Below are 15,791 nucleotides of genomic sequence, written 5' to 3'. Positions count from 1 at the left end.
ATTTCTTAAAGATATTATGTGTATTACCTTTGAATTCTATCATTCAGTACTTTGCTGTATCAGGAGTTGCCAAACCAAGATTTAGAACACAGAAATTCAGTCAGGGTTAAACGTGATTCAACATCTCACACGCCATCTATTTTCTAGTGTGATTATGCGTGTCTGCATAGTATACTTGAGTTTATTGCATTTAGATAATGCAATAAAGTAGTGTGCACTAGTTCTTAGAAATATGTATTCCATGGAGTCTATGGAATATCTGATTAAATATTATATTCTGGATCTTTTTCATTCTCTTCCTCTCTCCTGCAATCATGTGGTATGCAGAGTGCTCCAATAAGGCTTTAAGACTGCAAATGCTGGTGAGTGTCACTTCCTGACTTCAAAGATATCTTAGTCAGATAGGAGGAAGATGTGTGAGCAAAGTTATGTAAAGGAGAGAAAAATGCTTAGGGAGATTTGTGCAGGGTTGTGGAATAATGTATTTTGGCCCCTAAAATTTATCTTTCTTTGTCACCCTCCCCCAATCCCTTCTTTTGCCCCTTGGGTTTGTAGTAGTTTTCTATTGCTGCTGTAACAAATTACCACAAAGTTAGTGGCTTCAAACAACTCAGATTTATTATGTTACAGCTTTTGAGGTCAGAAGTCCAATAAGTCTCACTGGGTTAACATCAAGGTGTGAGCAAGGTTTCCTTCCTTGGGTGGGTTTTAGTGGAGAATCCATTTCCTTGCCTTCCCAGCTTCCAGAGGCTGCCCCATTCCTTGGCTGGCAGCTCCCTTCCATCTTCAAAGTTGGAAATGGCATCACTGTGACCTCCACTTCCTCTCTTTCTCTGTGACTCTCCTCCCTCCTTCATCCACTTATAAAGACCCACTTATAAAGACACTGTGCCTACCTAGATAATTCACAATAATCTCCCCTTCGCAAAATCAGCTGATGAGCAATTTTAATCCCATCTGCAACCTTAATTTTCCTGGTCATATAACAGAACCTGCTCACAGGTTCTGCAGATTAGGTCATCGGCAGCTTTGGAGGCTGTGATATTGTGAAATATATATTTGGTCTTCTTTCCCCTTTCCTTGCATACAACCCCTAAAATCCTTGGACTCTCCAGAGTGCTGTCTTTTTATGTGTTGACTGACAGTGTCAGGGTGGGACTGGTCACTGGAAAGAGAAAAGCATGATTCAAAGGTTGAGACCTTCAGCTTTGCCTCCTAAACTCTAGGGAGAGGAGAGAGGCTGAAGATCAAGTTGATCACCAATGGCCAATGGTTTAATCAATCATGCCTACGAAATGAAGTCTCCATAAAAACCCGAGGGGACAGGGTTGGGAGAGCTTCAGGATAGCTGAACACATGGAGCTTCCTGGAAGGTGGCGTGCCCAGGGAGGGCATGGAAGCTTCGTGCTCCTTCTCGCATACCTTGCCTTATGTATCTGTTCATCTGTATCCTTTGCGATATCCTATGTAACAAACTGGTAAACGTAACTGTTTCTTTGAGTTCTGTGAGTCACTCCAGCAAATTAATCGAACCCAAAGAGCGGGACATGGGAACTCCAACTTGAAACTGGTCAGAAGTGTCAGAGTCCCAGAATAATGACTGGTATCTGGGGTGGGGGAGTCTTGTGAGACTAAGCCCTTGATCGGGATCTCACAGTATCTCCAAGTAGTGTGGGAATTGAGCTGCAGTCTACTGCAGAGTCAGTTGCTTGCTTGCTGGTAGGGAGAAACCCATCCCTCCACATTTGGTTACAGAAATCTTCTGTGTTGATGATTGTTGTTGTTTTAAGTGAGAGAATAGGAACGATGGTTTGAGATTTTTTTTTTTCCCCCAAAACAGGGGCCATTATTTTGTCTATCCCAAGGCTACTCCCCTGATTCAAACTTTATACTTTGTGACCATATCTTTTAAAGAAACCCATAGTAGTTCTTCTTTTTTTTCTTTTTTTTTTTTTTTGAGACGGAGTCTTGTTCTGTTGCCTGCCCAGGCTGGAGTGCAGTAGCGTGATCTTGGCTCACTGCAATCTCAGCCTCCTGGGTTCAAGCAATTTTCCCATCTCAGCCTTCTGAGTAGCTGGGATTACAGGTGCCCGCCATCATGCCTGGCTAGTTATTGTATTTTTAATAAAGATGGCATTTCACCATGTTGGCCAGGCTGGTCTTGAACTCCTGACCTTAGGTTATCCACCCACCTCGGCCTCCCAAAGTGCTGGGATTACAGGCGTGAACCACTGCACCCAGCCAAGAAAACCCGTAGTAATGCTTTAATAACATCTATTATCCAGGAGTATTCACATTTCCTGGGTTGTCCCGTAAAGATTTGTTTTTTCCTCTGGAAGTTTGTTGTTTTTTCACTGAAGAAACCAGGTCACTTCTGTAAATTTTTCATAGTCTGGGTTTTGCTGACTACATTTCTGTGGTATGAGTTATATGTTTCCCTGAGCCCTGGATTTCTTATAAATTGGTATCTATAAACTGGTATCTAGAAGTTTGCTTAGATTCAGATTCTATAGTTTGGCAAGGTTTTAATAGGTAGTATTGAGTGTACTTCTACCAGATTTTAGCTTGATATTTTTTGGCAAGAAGACCTCTTCGTGGGGGGTGGGTGGTTAAGTCCAGTCAAGTGGCAGAAACCACACCACACTGAACACAGGTCACTTAATATAAAGGATTGTTAATGGGCACAGAGTTGTTAACGGATGTGTGGAGAGGTAAACAGAGAACGTGAAGTTATCACACAGTAGCAACCTCAGAAGCAAACAAAGTTGGAAACAAGAAAAGGAATGGGTTAGACTTATGAATATTGAGGAGTGTAAGAGGAACCTTGAGGAGTGAGCGTGGACTCTGTGGAGAAAGCCTGGTGCTGGCGGGTGTGTCTGAGCTTAAAATAGCATCTCTTAGTGCCTCCTTTCTTTTTATTGTCAAATAATATTTCATTTCTTTATTTTCTCATCAGTTGATGGACATTTTGGGTTGTGCCCACTTTTTGGTTGTTATAAGTAATACTGCTATGAATATTTGAGTACAGGTTTTTATGTGGACATATATTTTCATTTCTTCTGAGTAATATACTGGTAGTGGATTTTCTGGACCATATGGTAATTCTGTGTTTATCGTTTCGAGGAGTTGCCAGACTTTTCCAAAATGCCTGCACCATTTTACATTCTCACCAGCGATGTGTGAGGGTGCTAATTTCTCCACATCTTTGCCAACGCTTGTTATCCAACTTTCTGATTATAGCCATTCTAGAAGGGGTAAGGTGGTGTTTCATTTTGGTTCTGATTTGCACTTTCCTGATGGCTAGTGATGTTGAACGTCTTTCCATGTGCTTGTTGGCCATTTGTGTATCTTTGGAGAAATGCCTATTCCTATTCTTTTTCTTTTCCTTTGCTTTCTTTCTTTCTTTTTTTTTTTTTTAAAGATAGGGTCTCATTATGTTGCCCAGGCTGATCCTGAACTCCTGGGCTCATGTGATCCACCCACCTTGGCCTCCTAAAGTGCTGGGATTACAGACGTGAGCTGCCATGCTCGGCCTCCATTCCTATTCTTTGCTCATTTTAAAATTAGGTTGTCTCTTTATTATTGAGTTATAAGGGGACAGGCCCGTTGGCTCATGCCTGTAATCCCAGCACTTTGGGAGGCCAAGGCAGGAGGATCACCTGAGTTCAGGAGTTGGAGACCAGCTTGGCCAACATGGTGAAACCCTGTCTCTACTAAAAAAATTAGCCAGGCATGGTGGCACACGCCTGTAATCTCAGCTACTGGGGAGGCTGAGGCATGAGAATTGCTTGAACCTGGGAACCTGGGATGTGGAGGTTGTAGTGAGCTCCGATTCTACCACTGCACTTGAGTCTGGGAGACAAGAGTGAGACTCCTTCTCAAAAAAAGAAAAAAGAAAAAAAAGTTATAAGGGTTCTTTATGTATTCTAACAAGTTCTTTATCAGATATACGCTATGCAAAATGAGTTGGGAAGTGTTCCGTTGTTACATTCTCTTCTATTTTGAAAGAGTTTGTGAAGAATTGATATTAATTTTTCTTTAAGTGTTTGGTAGAATATACCGGTGAAGCTAACTGGTCTTGGGCTTTTTATTGCAAGTTTTTTTTATTACTAATTCCATCTATTTATTTGTTATAGATTTGTTCAAATTTTCCATTTCTTTTGAGTTAGTTTGGGTAGTTTGTGTCTTTCTTGGCATGTGCCCACTTCATCTAAGTTACCTATTTTTTTTTTTTTTCTGAGATGGAGCCTCACTCTGTCGCCCAGGCTGGAGTGCAGTGGCACAGCCTTGGCTCACTGCAACCTCTGCCTCCCAGGTTCAAGCGATTCTTCTGTCTCAGCCTCCCAAGTAGCTGGGATTACAGGCATTCACCACTACGCTTGGCTAATTTTTGTATTTTTAGTAGAGATGGAGTTTCACCATGTTGGCCAGTCTGGTCTCAAACTCCTGATCTCAAGTGATCCACCCGCCTCAGCCTCCCAAAGTGCTGGATTACAGGCGTGAGCCACCACACCCGGCCCTAAGCTACCTAATTTGTTGGCATAAAATTGTTCATAGTATCCTCTTATAATTACTTTTATTTCTGAAATGTTGGTAGTAATGTCCCCTCTTTTATTTACACTTTTAGTAACTTAAGTCTTTTCCTTTTTCCTTGTTTAGTTTGGCTAAAAGGGTTTGTCAATTTTGATCTTTTCAACCAACTAATATTTGATTTTGCTGCTTTTCTTTACTGTTTTTCTACTCTCTACTTAATTAATTTCCACTCTTGTTTTTGCTATTTTCTTTCTCCTGATTGCTTGTATTTAGTTTGTTCTTCCTTTTTCCAGCATCTTAACATGGAAGCATAAGATTAGGTTGTTGATTTATAATCTTTTTTTAATGTAGGCATTCCCAGCTATAAATTTCCTATGAGATTTACTTTAGCTGTATCCCATAAATTTTGGTATGTGTGTCTTCATTTTTACTTATTTCAAGGTACTTTCTAGTTTCCCGTGTGATTTATTCTCTGGCTCATTGGCTATTTAGTAGCATGTTGTTTACTTTCCACATATTTATGATATTACAATTTTTTTCTGTTATTAATTTTTTATTTCATTCCATTCTGAGAGAGAAAATACATTAATTGATTTCAGTCTTTTAAAACTTGTGGAGGCTTATTTTATGGCCTAATATATGGCCTATTCTAAGGAATGCTCCATGTGCACTGAGAAGAATGTGTTCTGCTATTGTTGGGGAAGTTTCCTGCTATGTACAGTTTGTGTAGTCCTCTATCTTTTCCTTTATACATTTTCTTTATTTTAAATTGACAGCATTTTGTTTTTATGGGTATAGTATGATGTTATGAAGTACATATACATTGTGGAATGGTTAAATGTAGATAATTACCAGGTGCGTTACCTCACATTACCTTGCTATACAAGAGGTCTCTTGAAATGTGTTCCTTCTATTATGCAGCCATGAAAAGGAAAGAGATCATGTCCTTTGCAGGGACATCGATGAAGCCGGAAGCCATTATCCTCAGCAAACTAACACAGGAGCATAAAACCAAACAATGCATGTTCTCACTTATAAGTTGGAGCTGAACAATGAAATCACATGTATACAGGGAGGGGAACAACACACACTGGGGCCTGTCAGTGGGGGTAGGTGTGGGAGGGAGGGAGAGTATTAAGAAAAATATTTAATGCATGCTGGGCTTAGTACCCAGGTGATGGGTTGATAGGTGCAACAAATCACGATGGCACACTTTTACCTATTAACAAACCTGCACATCCTGCACATGTACCCCAGAACTAAAAATTAAAATTAAAATTAAAAAAGAGAAATGTATTCCTTCTAACCATAATTATGTATCCTTTGACTAACATCTCCCGTTTCCTCCCAAATCCTCTATTTTCTTTCTTATCTGCCTAGTTGTTCCATTCATTATTGGAAGTGGAACATTGGAGTGTTCAACTATTATTGTGGAACTCTATTCTTCCCTTTAATTCTGTCAGCCTTTCCTTTATGTGTTTTGGGGTGCTGTTGTTAGATGTATTTATAATTCTTATACCTTCCTGATGAGATTTACCATTTTATCATTAAAAAAGTCCCCCTTTATCTTTAGTAACTTTTTTTGTTTTAAAGGGTACTTCGATATTAATATAGCCACTCCGCTCTCTAGTGGCTATTGTTTGCATCATGTATCTTTGCCCATCCGTATGCTTTCAACCTATTTGTATCTTTGTACCTAAAGTTTGTAGGAATATTATCGTATAGAGAGCATACAGTTGGATTTTGTTTGTTAAATCCAGTCTTACAATCTCTGCCTTTTGAATAGATCATTTTACCCGTTCACAATTAATATTATTATTGATACTGCTGAATTTAGTCTACTATTTTTTTCTTTATGTCACATATCTTTCTTTTGTTCTATTCCTCCTTTACTGGATTCTTTTGCATTAATAAAGTATGTTCTTTTCTCACATTTTAATTCTTTTAATAACACTTTCACTTTTTAAAGTTAATTCCTTAGTAGTTGCTCTAGGGATTACCTTGTACACCTTAATTTATCAGAAACTAAATTAGATGTAATTTCAGTGACATATAGAGATGCTAATTCTATATAGCTTTATTCTCTCTTCTTGTTTCCTGTGCTAATATTATTATATATATTACATCTTTTAATTTTATAAACCAATAATATATTGTCATAGTTATTACTTTATATAATTTTATGTCTATTGAAGAATCCAATAAAAGAAAGGAGAGGAGGTATTTATTTATAGTTTGTTATACTTCTTCTAATTCTTCTAATTTACAGTTTCTGGTTCACTGAATTTGTTCCCGTGTGTTCCAGTTACTATCAGCTGTTATTTTGCTACTCCAATACAACTCTGCTCCCACCCATTTCCTTGGTGCCATGGATGTCAAATATATTACATTTGTATATGCTATAGACACAACAAAGTAATCATGTACCCATTCTTTTATATAATTGGTTTTAAAATCAGTTAAGAGAAGAAAGAAAAAGTAAACATTTAGATTGCCTTTTATAGTTATTTAATTACTTTTCCTGGTTTTGTGTGTGTGTGTGTGTGTGTGTGTGTGTGTGTGTGTGTGTGTTGTTTCAAATTACTATCTGGGGGGGTCACATGATTTCAGCCTAAAAATCTTGCTTTACTATTCTCTGTAAGATGAGTCTTCTAGCAACAAATTATCTCAGATTTTATTTGCCTGGAGATAGCTTTATTTTGACTGCAGTTTGAAAAGATGTTTTTGCTGAACATAAGATTCTTGGTTGATATAATTTTCCCCTTCCACTTTGAATAGGACATCTCACTGCTTTCTGGCCTACGTTGTTTCTGAGAATTTAGCTGTCTATCTTATTGGAGGCTGCTTGTGTATCAGTTTTCTCTTGTGCCTTTCAAAATTTTCTGCTTAATTTTATCTTTTAGCATATTGACTATGATATGTCTGGGTGTGGACTTCTTCGTGTTTGTCCTGCTTGGAGTTTGTTGAGCTAGTTGAATGTGTAGATTACAGATTTTCAGCAAAATTGGAACGTTTTCAGCCATTATTACTTTGAATATTTTTTCTGTTTCTTTTTCTTTCTCCTCTCTTTTTGATATTTCTATTATACTTATGTTGGTGTAACTAAAGATGTCTAATATTTCTCTGAGGCTCCATTCATTTTTACTTATTCTTTTTTCTTTCTGTAATTCAGATCATGTGATTTACAGAAAACCAAAATAAAAGGTATCTGTAGCTCTGCTCTCCCCCCCATGTTTATTTGGATTCCCTTTTTCTTTGATCCACATGTCCCTGTCCTGCTCAGTTTATTAATTTCTCCTCAGTGAAATTCAATTTATTCTCAGTGAGAGTGCTATAGACTGAAATATATCCCCTTCCTCAAAATTCATATGCTGAAGCCCTAACCCCCATGTGACCGTATTGGAGACAGAGCTTTTAAGGATGTGATTAAGATTAAACAAGATCATAAGAATGGAGCCCTGTATTTAGGGTTCTTTAGAGAAATAGACCCAAACTTATTTTATATATAAAAAATAAGTTATTTTGCAGAATCCCATCTGGGAATATTCCCAACTCCTTAGGCTCATATGATTATGGAGGCCAAAAAGTCCTGTGATCTACTGTTTGCAAGCTGGAGACATAGTAAAGCTGGTGGTGTAGTTTGAAGGTCTGAGAGTTAGAGAGTTGGTGGTGTAGCTTCCAATTTGGGACTAAAGTCTGAGAACCAAGTGCACGAAGGGCAAAAGACTGATGCCTCGGCTCAAGCAATCAGGCAGAAAGTGAATTCAACCTTCTTTGCCTTTTTGTTCTATTCAAGCCCTCAACAGATTGGATGATGCCCACCCACACTGGTGAGGGCAAATCTTCTTTACTCAGTCTAATGATTTAAATGTAATCTCTTTTGGAAACATCCTCACAGACATACCCAGAAGTAATGTTTTACCAGTTGTCTGGACATTCTGATGCCCCATTCAAGTTGACACATAAAGTTAACCATCCATAAGCCCTGAACTGGTAAAAGTGTTATCCTTATAAAAGAGAAAGTGACATCAGAGTGTGCTTTTTTTCTCTCTTTGCCATGTCTGCACATAGTGAGAAGACAGCCATCTGCATGTCAAGAAGAGGACCTCACCAGAAACTGAGTTGGCTGAAACTTTGATCTTGAACTTCCCAGCCTCAAGACCTGTGAGAAATCAATTTCTGTCATTTAAACCACCCAGCATATGGTATTTTACAATGGCAGTGTGAGCAGATAGAGGAGTTTGCTCTAGAAGTGAGCTCAGGATTGCAAGGTTTGAGAATTCCTAGAACCAACATTATTTCTGCATGTGATGACCTTCCCTCATGTCCTTGCCTTTACCTGTGCATCAGTTTGCTGATCCCATCTAGGAATGTTCTTAACCTCTTAGGCAGTTACTAAGAGTGATTTTAGATGCTCTTGTTCTCAGGGCACTCAGATTCCCCATTTTCCTCTTTCCATTTGCTCCCACATGAATACCAAGTGAATCCTGTCAATACTGGTGGTTCATTCCTTCTTCTCATATTTTTGGATTCTTATCCACTAGTTTTATTGCAGATCAGTATATCCTTTTGATAGTGTAGTTTTAGCCTAGGGATCACTATATCAATAAATATGTGACTTACATGGACTTCATAGGCCACACCTACAAATCATTCTGTACTTTTAGTCTTGATGTGAACTGAAGAATACCACTTATGAAGCAGAAGGGTGATAATAGACTATCCGGGAGCTTTATCGTACTGGACAGGTCTCTGAATCAGCTTAAGCCTAACGAGCTAGTTGATCTAAATTTCACTATATTTAAGCTTTATCTCTGAGCCAGATCTAACCATCTTCAGAACAGAGAAATGAGAGTTTTGGATTTCATTCCACTTCTGTTTTAAAAAATATTCTCCAACCTCGAAAAATATATGTCTGCACCCAGTGAAATTCTTAACCTCTTGGAATCACTTTGTTCTTAAATAACAAGGCCTTGATCCTCTAGTAGAACTAAAATTTACAAAGTTATTAACTGTAAAGGTATCCAATTATTTTCAAAGTAAGTCTGAAGTTATGAGCTAATCATATATATGAGAAAAGAAATCATAGTTGAATCATGGTCAATTTTTCCTTATCAGAGAAGAGACATGGATTTACACTGAGTTCTCTAAGTCAGCTATTTTATATGCATATGAGTTTTAAATAGTAAATATTTCTTTCCTGAAACATTGATGTGTAAATCTGGGACATATCCTACTTTAGGAAGTTGTTCTGTAATAAAATATAAGGCTTGGAGCTATTTAAAAAAAACCAGTGCCCTACCATTGCTAAAAGTTTCAATTGTTCAGGGACAGAATAAGTGATGGGATTTAGAAAATCATAATGATGGCTTTGACATTTCTAGTTTATTTTGTCCAATTATTAATTACAAGTGTTATTTGATTTTTCTGCATATTTCTCCATCAATGAGTAAAAGCTTTTGATCTGTGTTCTATGTGGAACCCCATGGGGAGAGAGAGATAAATAATAGGAAAGAGTGAAATAAAAGGAAATGGAAATTAGAAAAATATTTGCTTTTATAGATTTTAAATACTGAATTCACATTCCAATAAATTTATCTTTTTTGAAGGTTTTAAAAATGCGAACTCAATAATCTACAAATAGACTGTTTTTGTCTATCTACTATGTTTTATAGGATTTTTTTCCCTTAGTGATACAAAATAGTTTCTAACTTGGTCCCCAAATTGCTTATTGATATGTCTCCCAAGGTACTTCTGTCCTCTGTGGTGGAGAATAAAGGGAAGCCAGGAAGTGTGGGTCAGGATCTCTGGGAAACTGCTGGCTTCTAGCAAGGCTGGCACGGGTGTGTTCCCATGGAAGGAAAGAACCAAAGGTGCTGGTGAGTAGCTCACCACAGGGGTCAGCCCTGCAGCCCTCTCTGTGAGATTGTCCTCAGCCTGTGCCTTGGGAAGTAGAATTTCCTATATGTTCTCCACTTAGCATGTTATCAACAATATACCCCATCAGGCACTCCATAAATAAATGAATGGAAATCCTCCAAATCAGGATAAAGCTCAAATACTGTCTCTTCTGTGAAGACTACTTGGATCCCCCAATCAAGAACAATCCTTTACACTTCCCTTCTCTGGCTGCCTGACATGAGACATATTTCCTGGTGTTGACTAAATCCAGGGCTCACCCTAAGATTTTTACCAGAGAGTAAGAATGTGGGAATAATTGTATATCCCATGGGTGGCCACATGTATATATTTATCCCATCCCACATGCTCTTCTTGCAGTCTGACAGACACTCCCCCACCAGGAGCTGGGAGTGACGGGAGTGATGTTCTCTACTCTTTAATTGGGGTATAGTCTTGTGCATCTCTTGACTGCCGCAACAGGGTATGGTGGAAGGAATCCCATGTGGCTTCTGAGGCTAAGAGGCTAGATCACAAAAAGGAGAGGTTTTTTTTTGTTTTGTTTTGTTTTGTTTTGTTTTCTCTCTATCTCTGTCTCCCATGAAGCTTACCCTTGGAACTCAGCTGCTATTTTGTAAGGAAGTCCATGCCTCTGCTAGATCTGCAGCCAATAGCCAGCCTCACCACCAGATGTGTAAATGAGCCTCAGATGATGCCAGCCTCACCCTTCGAGTCTTCCAGTTGAGGCCCCATTGTGCAGAAGACATAAGGCATTCCCACATGCCCTGTCTGAACTTCTGACCCACAAACACTATCAGAGATAATAAATGATCATTGTTTTAAGTTACTAAGTTTTAAGTTACTTAATTATGCAGCAATAAATAGATAATCAATACAAAGGCGCATACTGTTCCATGTATAAATGTCTACCGTATCTTTCATGCCTTCTTCCAACCCTAACTTGTAACACTTTTGTAGCAATTAGTGCCCAATTTGCACATGAAATACAAATCATATTTCTGTAAATGGTCATGAGGGTTAAATAAAGATCATACATGAAAGAGCCAGGCAGGGTGTTCAGTAATATGAAGTACTCAGTAAATGTTAACTACACACGAATTTGCTGAAACATGTTTCTTATGTTTAAATAATGAATTTGCTTTTCCTTGTATATCTTGCCTGTATGACACAAAAGGACACAGTCTGATCACATCAGTTCAGCAAAGGCAAGCCTCATCAGTTGGTAAAAAAAATTGGTTTAATGAATTGCAATCACACAAACAAAACTACAACTTACTTGATTAAGTTTTCCACCTCTCATCTGGTTTCTCTACCTTATATTTGTATTCTGATTCTGTCCTTTTATTGGTTTTCCTTTCCTTTTAAGTCCTTGGATGAATTTTTAAATATCTATTGCATTTTTTTATGTGGCCAAAGTCTCTTGAATAAGGTCTTATTGAAATTTCTTCAATGGCTGGATAAAATTGCATCCCAACTCAATTTTTGCATCCTGGCACAGGAAGTGGTCTCAAGTATTGCAGAACTGGATGGAGACTCGTAGGCCCTCTGGGCAGGCTAATACTTTGCTTTCCCATCACATGGATATTCATAAAATATTTGTTAGATGTTATGTAGGAGTGAGGCTAGAGAAGGCTAGCAGGACCAGGGCTTACTCACATTCTGGCTCTGTAAGACAGTGATCTGGCTGTGATGGCCACAGTTGATTGGCTGTCTTCTCAGCCCTCCGCAAATGCACTCATCGGGAGCAGGTTAACCTTCTCAAGTAGAGGATGTTCCTGTGTTCTGTCAAGGATATACAGGACACAGTCTGTGCCGATGCTTTTTTCGTGCATGAAACATATCATCTTAAGAAGATTTGCAAGTCCGTTTGTGTGTAGTACAGCAGCAAGGATCGTAGACCTGGTGTCAGCAAGCCTGGACACACAGTTTCTCTGAGCCTTTCAAATGAAGGTCTTGGATAAAATCACTTTTAAAGCTCTTGCCTGCTATATTATTTCATCTCTTTCTTATATGAGCTGCATGATAAATGAGTATAGAAAAAAGAATACACATGCTTTACAAGAGAAATTCAAAAGAATTAACCTATATATCCTTTTAGGTTAATTAAAATAGAATTCTGACTTACGAGGTTTCCATCTAATTCAGAGCTAATACTTTAAAGTTTTTACAAAATCTTCGTAAAACAAAACCAGTGAGTAATATATTACCAACTATAGGATTCATGAAAAAATGGGAGTCAAATGAAGCACTGCCACATTGATCAAATCATTGTACAATTTTTAGAAATAACAGCATGTGAACCTTGATGTCACTGCTGCAAATGCATTTCTATATTTTGTGTATAGTTTTGAAAAATTTGTAGCCTGATGCTACAAATATGTAATATAATTTCCTTCAGAAAATAATATTTATAATTATCAGTACCCAATGATTGCATGCAAGAGAAGTTTACTTGTTGGCTGAATTACATTTATTGAGAAGTAAGAAAATAAAAGATCCTGGAACGATCACTACAGTAACGAAACGGCTGAGTTGCCCACAGTTAAACTGCTGGGACTACCAGTTGGAAATCAGACAATGAAGAAGGAGAAGACATGAGTTCTAATAAGGTGAAAATTGTTCTTCAGGGAAAATGGAATATTAAACATAGTTTGGTTTTGCAAACACTCTAGGTTATGTAAAATGTAAAGATGAAGCTAGAAATTCAAGTCTGGAAAGAACTATAGATACCTAGATACACTGAGCTTTGACTACAGTGGCCTATTTATACATAGCTACTGGTTACTTCCACTGAATTGTATTTACGATTTAAAATTTATGAGATTTTAATGAATTAAATAAAAGTCTGTGGCTGTAGAAAAGCTATTTCTCTTGTCCTGAAAATGCTCTGATTGCTTTAATTTTCTCACAACTCCCTTTTTTTCTTTTCACTCTTCTCTCTCTCTGCCCCATTCTTTCTCTCAAGGTTGGGGTGTTCTTTCTTGTGTAAGCTGCTGCATAGAGGTGAGATATAGGATATATAGAGAGTGCTGATTAATTTATAAAATCTTGAAGTTCCTTTCCATTGTTAATTTATTTTAAAAGTTATTTCATCATATTAATGAAAATTAAATAATATTCTGCAAAATAACTGGCTTGTATTTGTCAAAAATTCAAGTTCAAGAAAGGCAACGAAAAACTGAGGAGCCATTTGAAATTGCAGAAGACACAAGAGTTGACAACGAAATGTAGTCCACCTGATTTGAGATTTCATCCTGTACTGGTAAAATTTTCTTTTTCCTATAAAGAGAATTATTGAGAAATATGACAAAATGTGAATTAGGTCTGTAGATTAGATTATAGTAATGTATTGATTTCATGATAGATATGGTGATATTCTAATTATATAGAATAAAGTCCTTGAATACCCACTAGAATAATTAGGATATCATATTTGCAATTCCTTCTCAACTGGCTCAGAATAAAATTATATTTATGAGAGAGAGAGAGAAAGAGAGACAGAAGAGAGAGAGAGACAGAGAGAGAATTAGAAAACCAGTGTGGTAAATTGTTTATAGTTGGGGGAACCAAGTGAAAAATATACAGGCATTGTTGTACTATTCTTGTAAGTTTTCTGTAAGTTTGAAATTACTTTAAAATATAAGTTTAAAAAACAATAAAAAGGGTTTTTCAGAATATTCTCTATAGCTTTTAATTTTGGGGAGGAAAACAAAGTCAGGATTAAATAGTAAAAACTAAAAATGAATGACTCACCTTCTGTAAATATTCTTTATAATTTCAAAAAATTGATTTTTAGTTTTAATTATCCCTTTTTTCTTTTTTTTGAGACAGGGTTTCACTGTGTCACCCAGGCTGGACTGCAGTGACATAATCATAACTCACTGTAACCTTGAGTGTGCACCTGAGCAGCTAGGACTACAGGCACATACCTAGCTGATTTTTAAATTTTATTTATTTATTTTTTTAGAGACAAAGTCTTGCAATATTGCCCAGGCTGGTATTGAACTCCTGGCCTCAAGCAATCCTCCTACCTGGGTCTCCCAAAATATTGGAATATCAGGCATGAGCCACCGTGCCTGGCTAATTATCCCATTTTGAATCACAAATTTCCTAGGGAATTTATGACTTTCAGCTCTGTACTCTTATCTAAATTGTTTAAGATTTATTAGCCTTTTTCAAAAATAGCAGTTTTTCATGAGAATAAAAAGATTCCCAATTTTATGTTATTTTAAACTTATTATCACTGAAATTAAGCATCCTAATAAAGAGAATTCTAAAACTTTAAGCAAAATGTTGGACTTCTAGCTTATGACCATAATCTTGATAGCAACAGTGCTAAGCAAATAAGACATGGTCCATGAACTTATTTATGTATTATTAAAAAACATACCAATTTGAGCTCAGATTTAGCCTAAATATTTAACCATGGCATATGTATGCACATTTATGCTTTAATTTACTTTTTATTTTGAGTTTTTAATAATATACAGGCTTGAAGACTAGTGCTGTTTTCTGTTCTTTTCCAAATGCCTTCTTCCCCCATCTCCACCACCTTCGATTTTACTTTTATTTATTTATTTATTTATTTTTTAGAGATGGGGTCTCGCCGTGTCACCCAGGGTGGAGTTGGAATGCAGTAGTGTGCTCATAGCTCACTGTAGCCTCTGAACTCCTGGGCTCAAATGATCCTCCTCCTTCAGCCTCCTGAGTAGCTGGGACTACAAGTATGCACCACTGCACTAAATTAATTTTTTGGGGGTTGGGCTGGGGGTAGAGGCAGTGTCTTGCTTTGTTGCTCAGGCTTGTCTTGAACTCCTGGCTTCAAGTGATCCTCCTGACTTGGCCCCCCCAAAGTGCTTGGATTACAGGCATGAGCTACCGTGCCCTGCCCCAACTTAGATTTTAGACATCAGAAACACTTTCCCTTTTACATTATCATGGAGTGATATGACATAGAGAAAAATAATCAAGTAACTCAATCATAAATGAGAATTTCTTAGAAACACACAGTTACAGAACACTAAATCTCTAACAAAGTTAATTCCTTGCCAATATTATTTTTATTCTACTTAGAGTTCATTGAGCTTGGATGTGTAGTATTGGTTTTCATCACATTTGGGAAGTTTTAAGCTATTATTTCTTCAAATATTCTGTCTGGCCTTTTCTCTCCTCTCCTGGAACCCTTATTTTGCATATATTGTCATGCTTCATGGCATACCACAGCTCAGTGAGGCTCCCTTCATTATTCTTCATTCTTTTTTCTTTCTGTTCATCAGACTGATTAATCTCAATAGACCTATCTTCAAGTTCATTGATTATTTCTTCTGCCTGCTCAAAAC

General features: G+C 37.4%; 1 long non-coding RNA gene across 4 annotated transcripts in view; it reads left to right on the top strand.

The window, feature by feature from the left end:
• Nucleotides 1–7,817: 7,817 nt before the first annotated feature.
• The window catches only part of LOC105375864 (uncharacterized), a 79,123-nt gene continuing 71,149 nt past the window's right edge, over nucleotides 7,818–15,791 (top strand). The window contains exons 1-2 of one of the 4 annotated variants that reach the window (XR_007060920.1): nucleotides 7,818–10,412; nucleotides 13,610–13,714. This is a non-coding gene — a long non-coding RNA (uncharacterized LOC105375864). Of the gene's footprint in view, nucleotides 13,715–15,791 lie in introns of all 4 variants that reach the window. The other 3 variants (XR_007060921.1, XR_001745923.1, XR_007060919.1) reach the window with 3 other exon arrangements.

Source organism: Homo sapiens, chromosome 8 (assembly GCF_000001405.40).
Source record: "Homo sapiens chromosome 8, GRCh38.p14 Primary Assembly".
In the NCBI taxonomy this organism is placed as follows: Eukaryota; Metazoa; Chordata; class Mammalia; order Primates; family Hominidae; genus Homo; species Homo sapiens.
The sequence above is the reverse complement of the archived record's forward strand: the minus strand, read 5'-3'. Positions and strand labels throughout refer to the sequence as shown.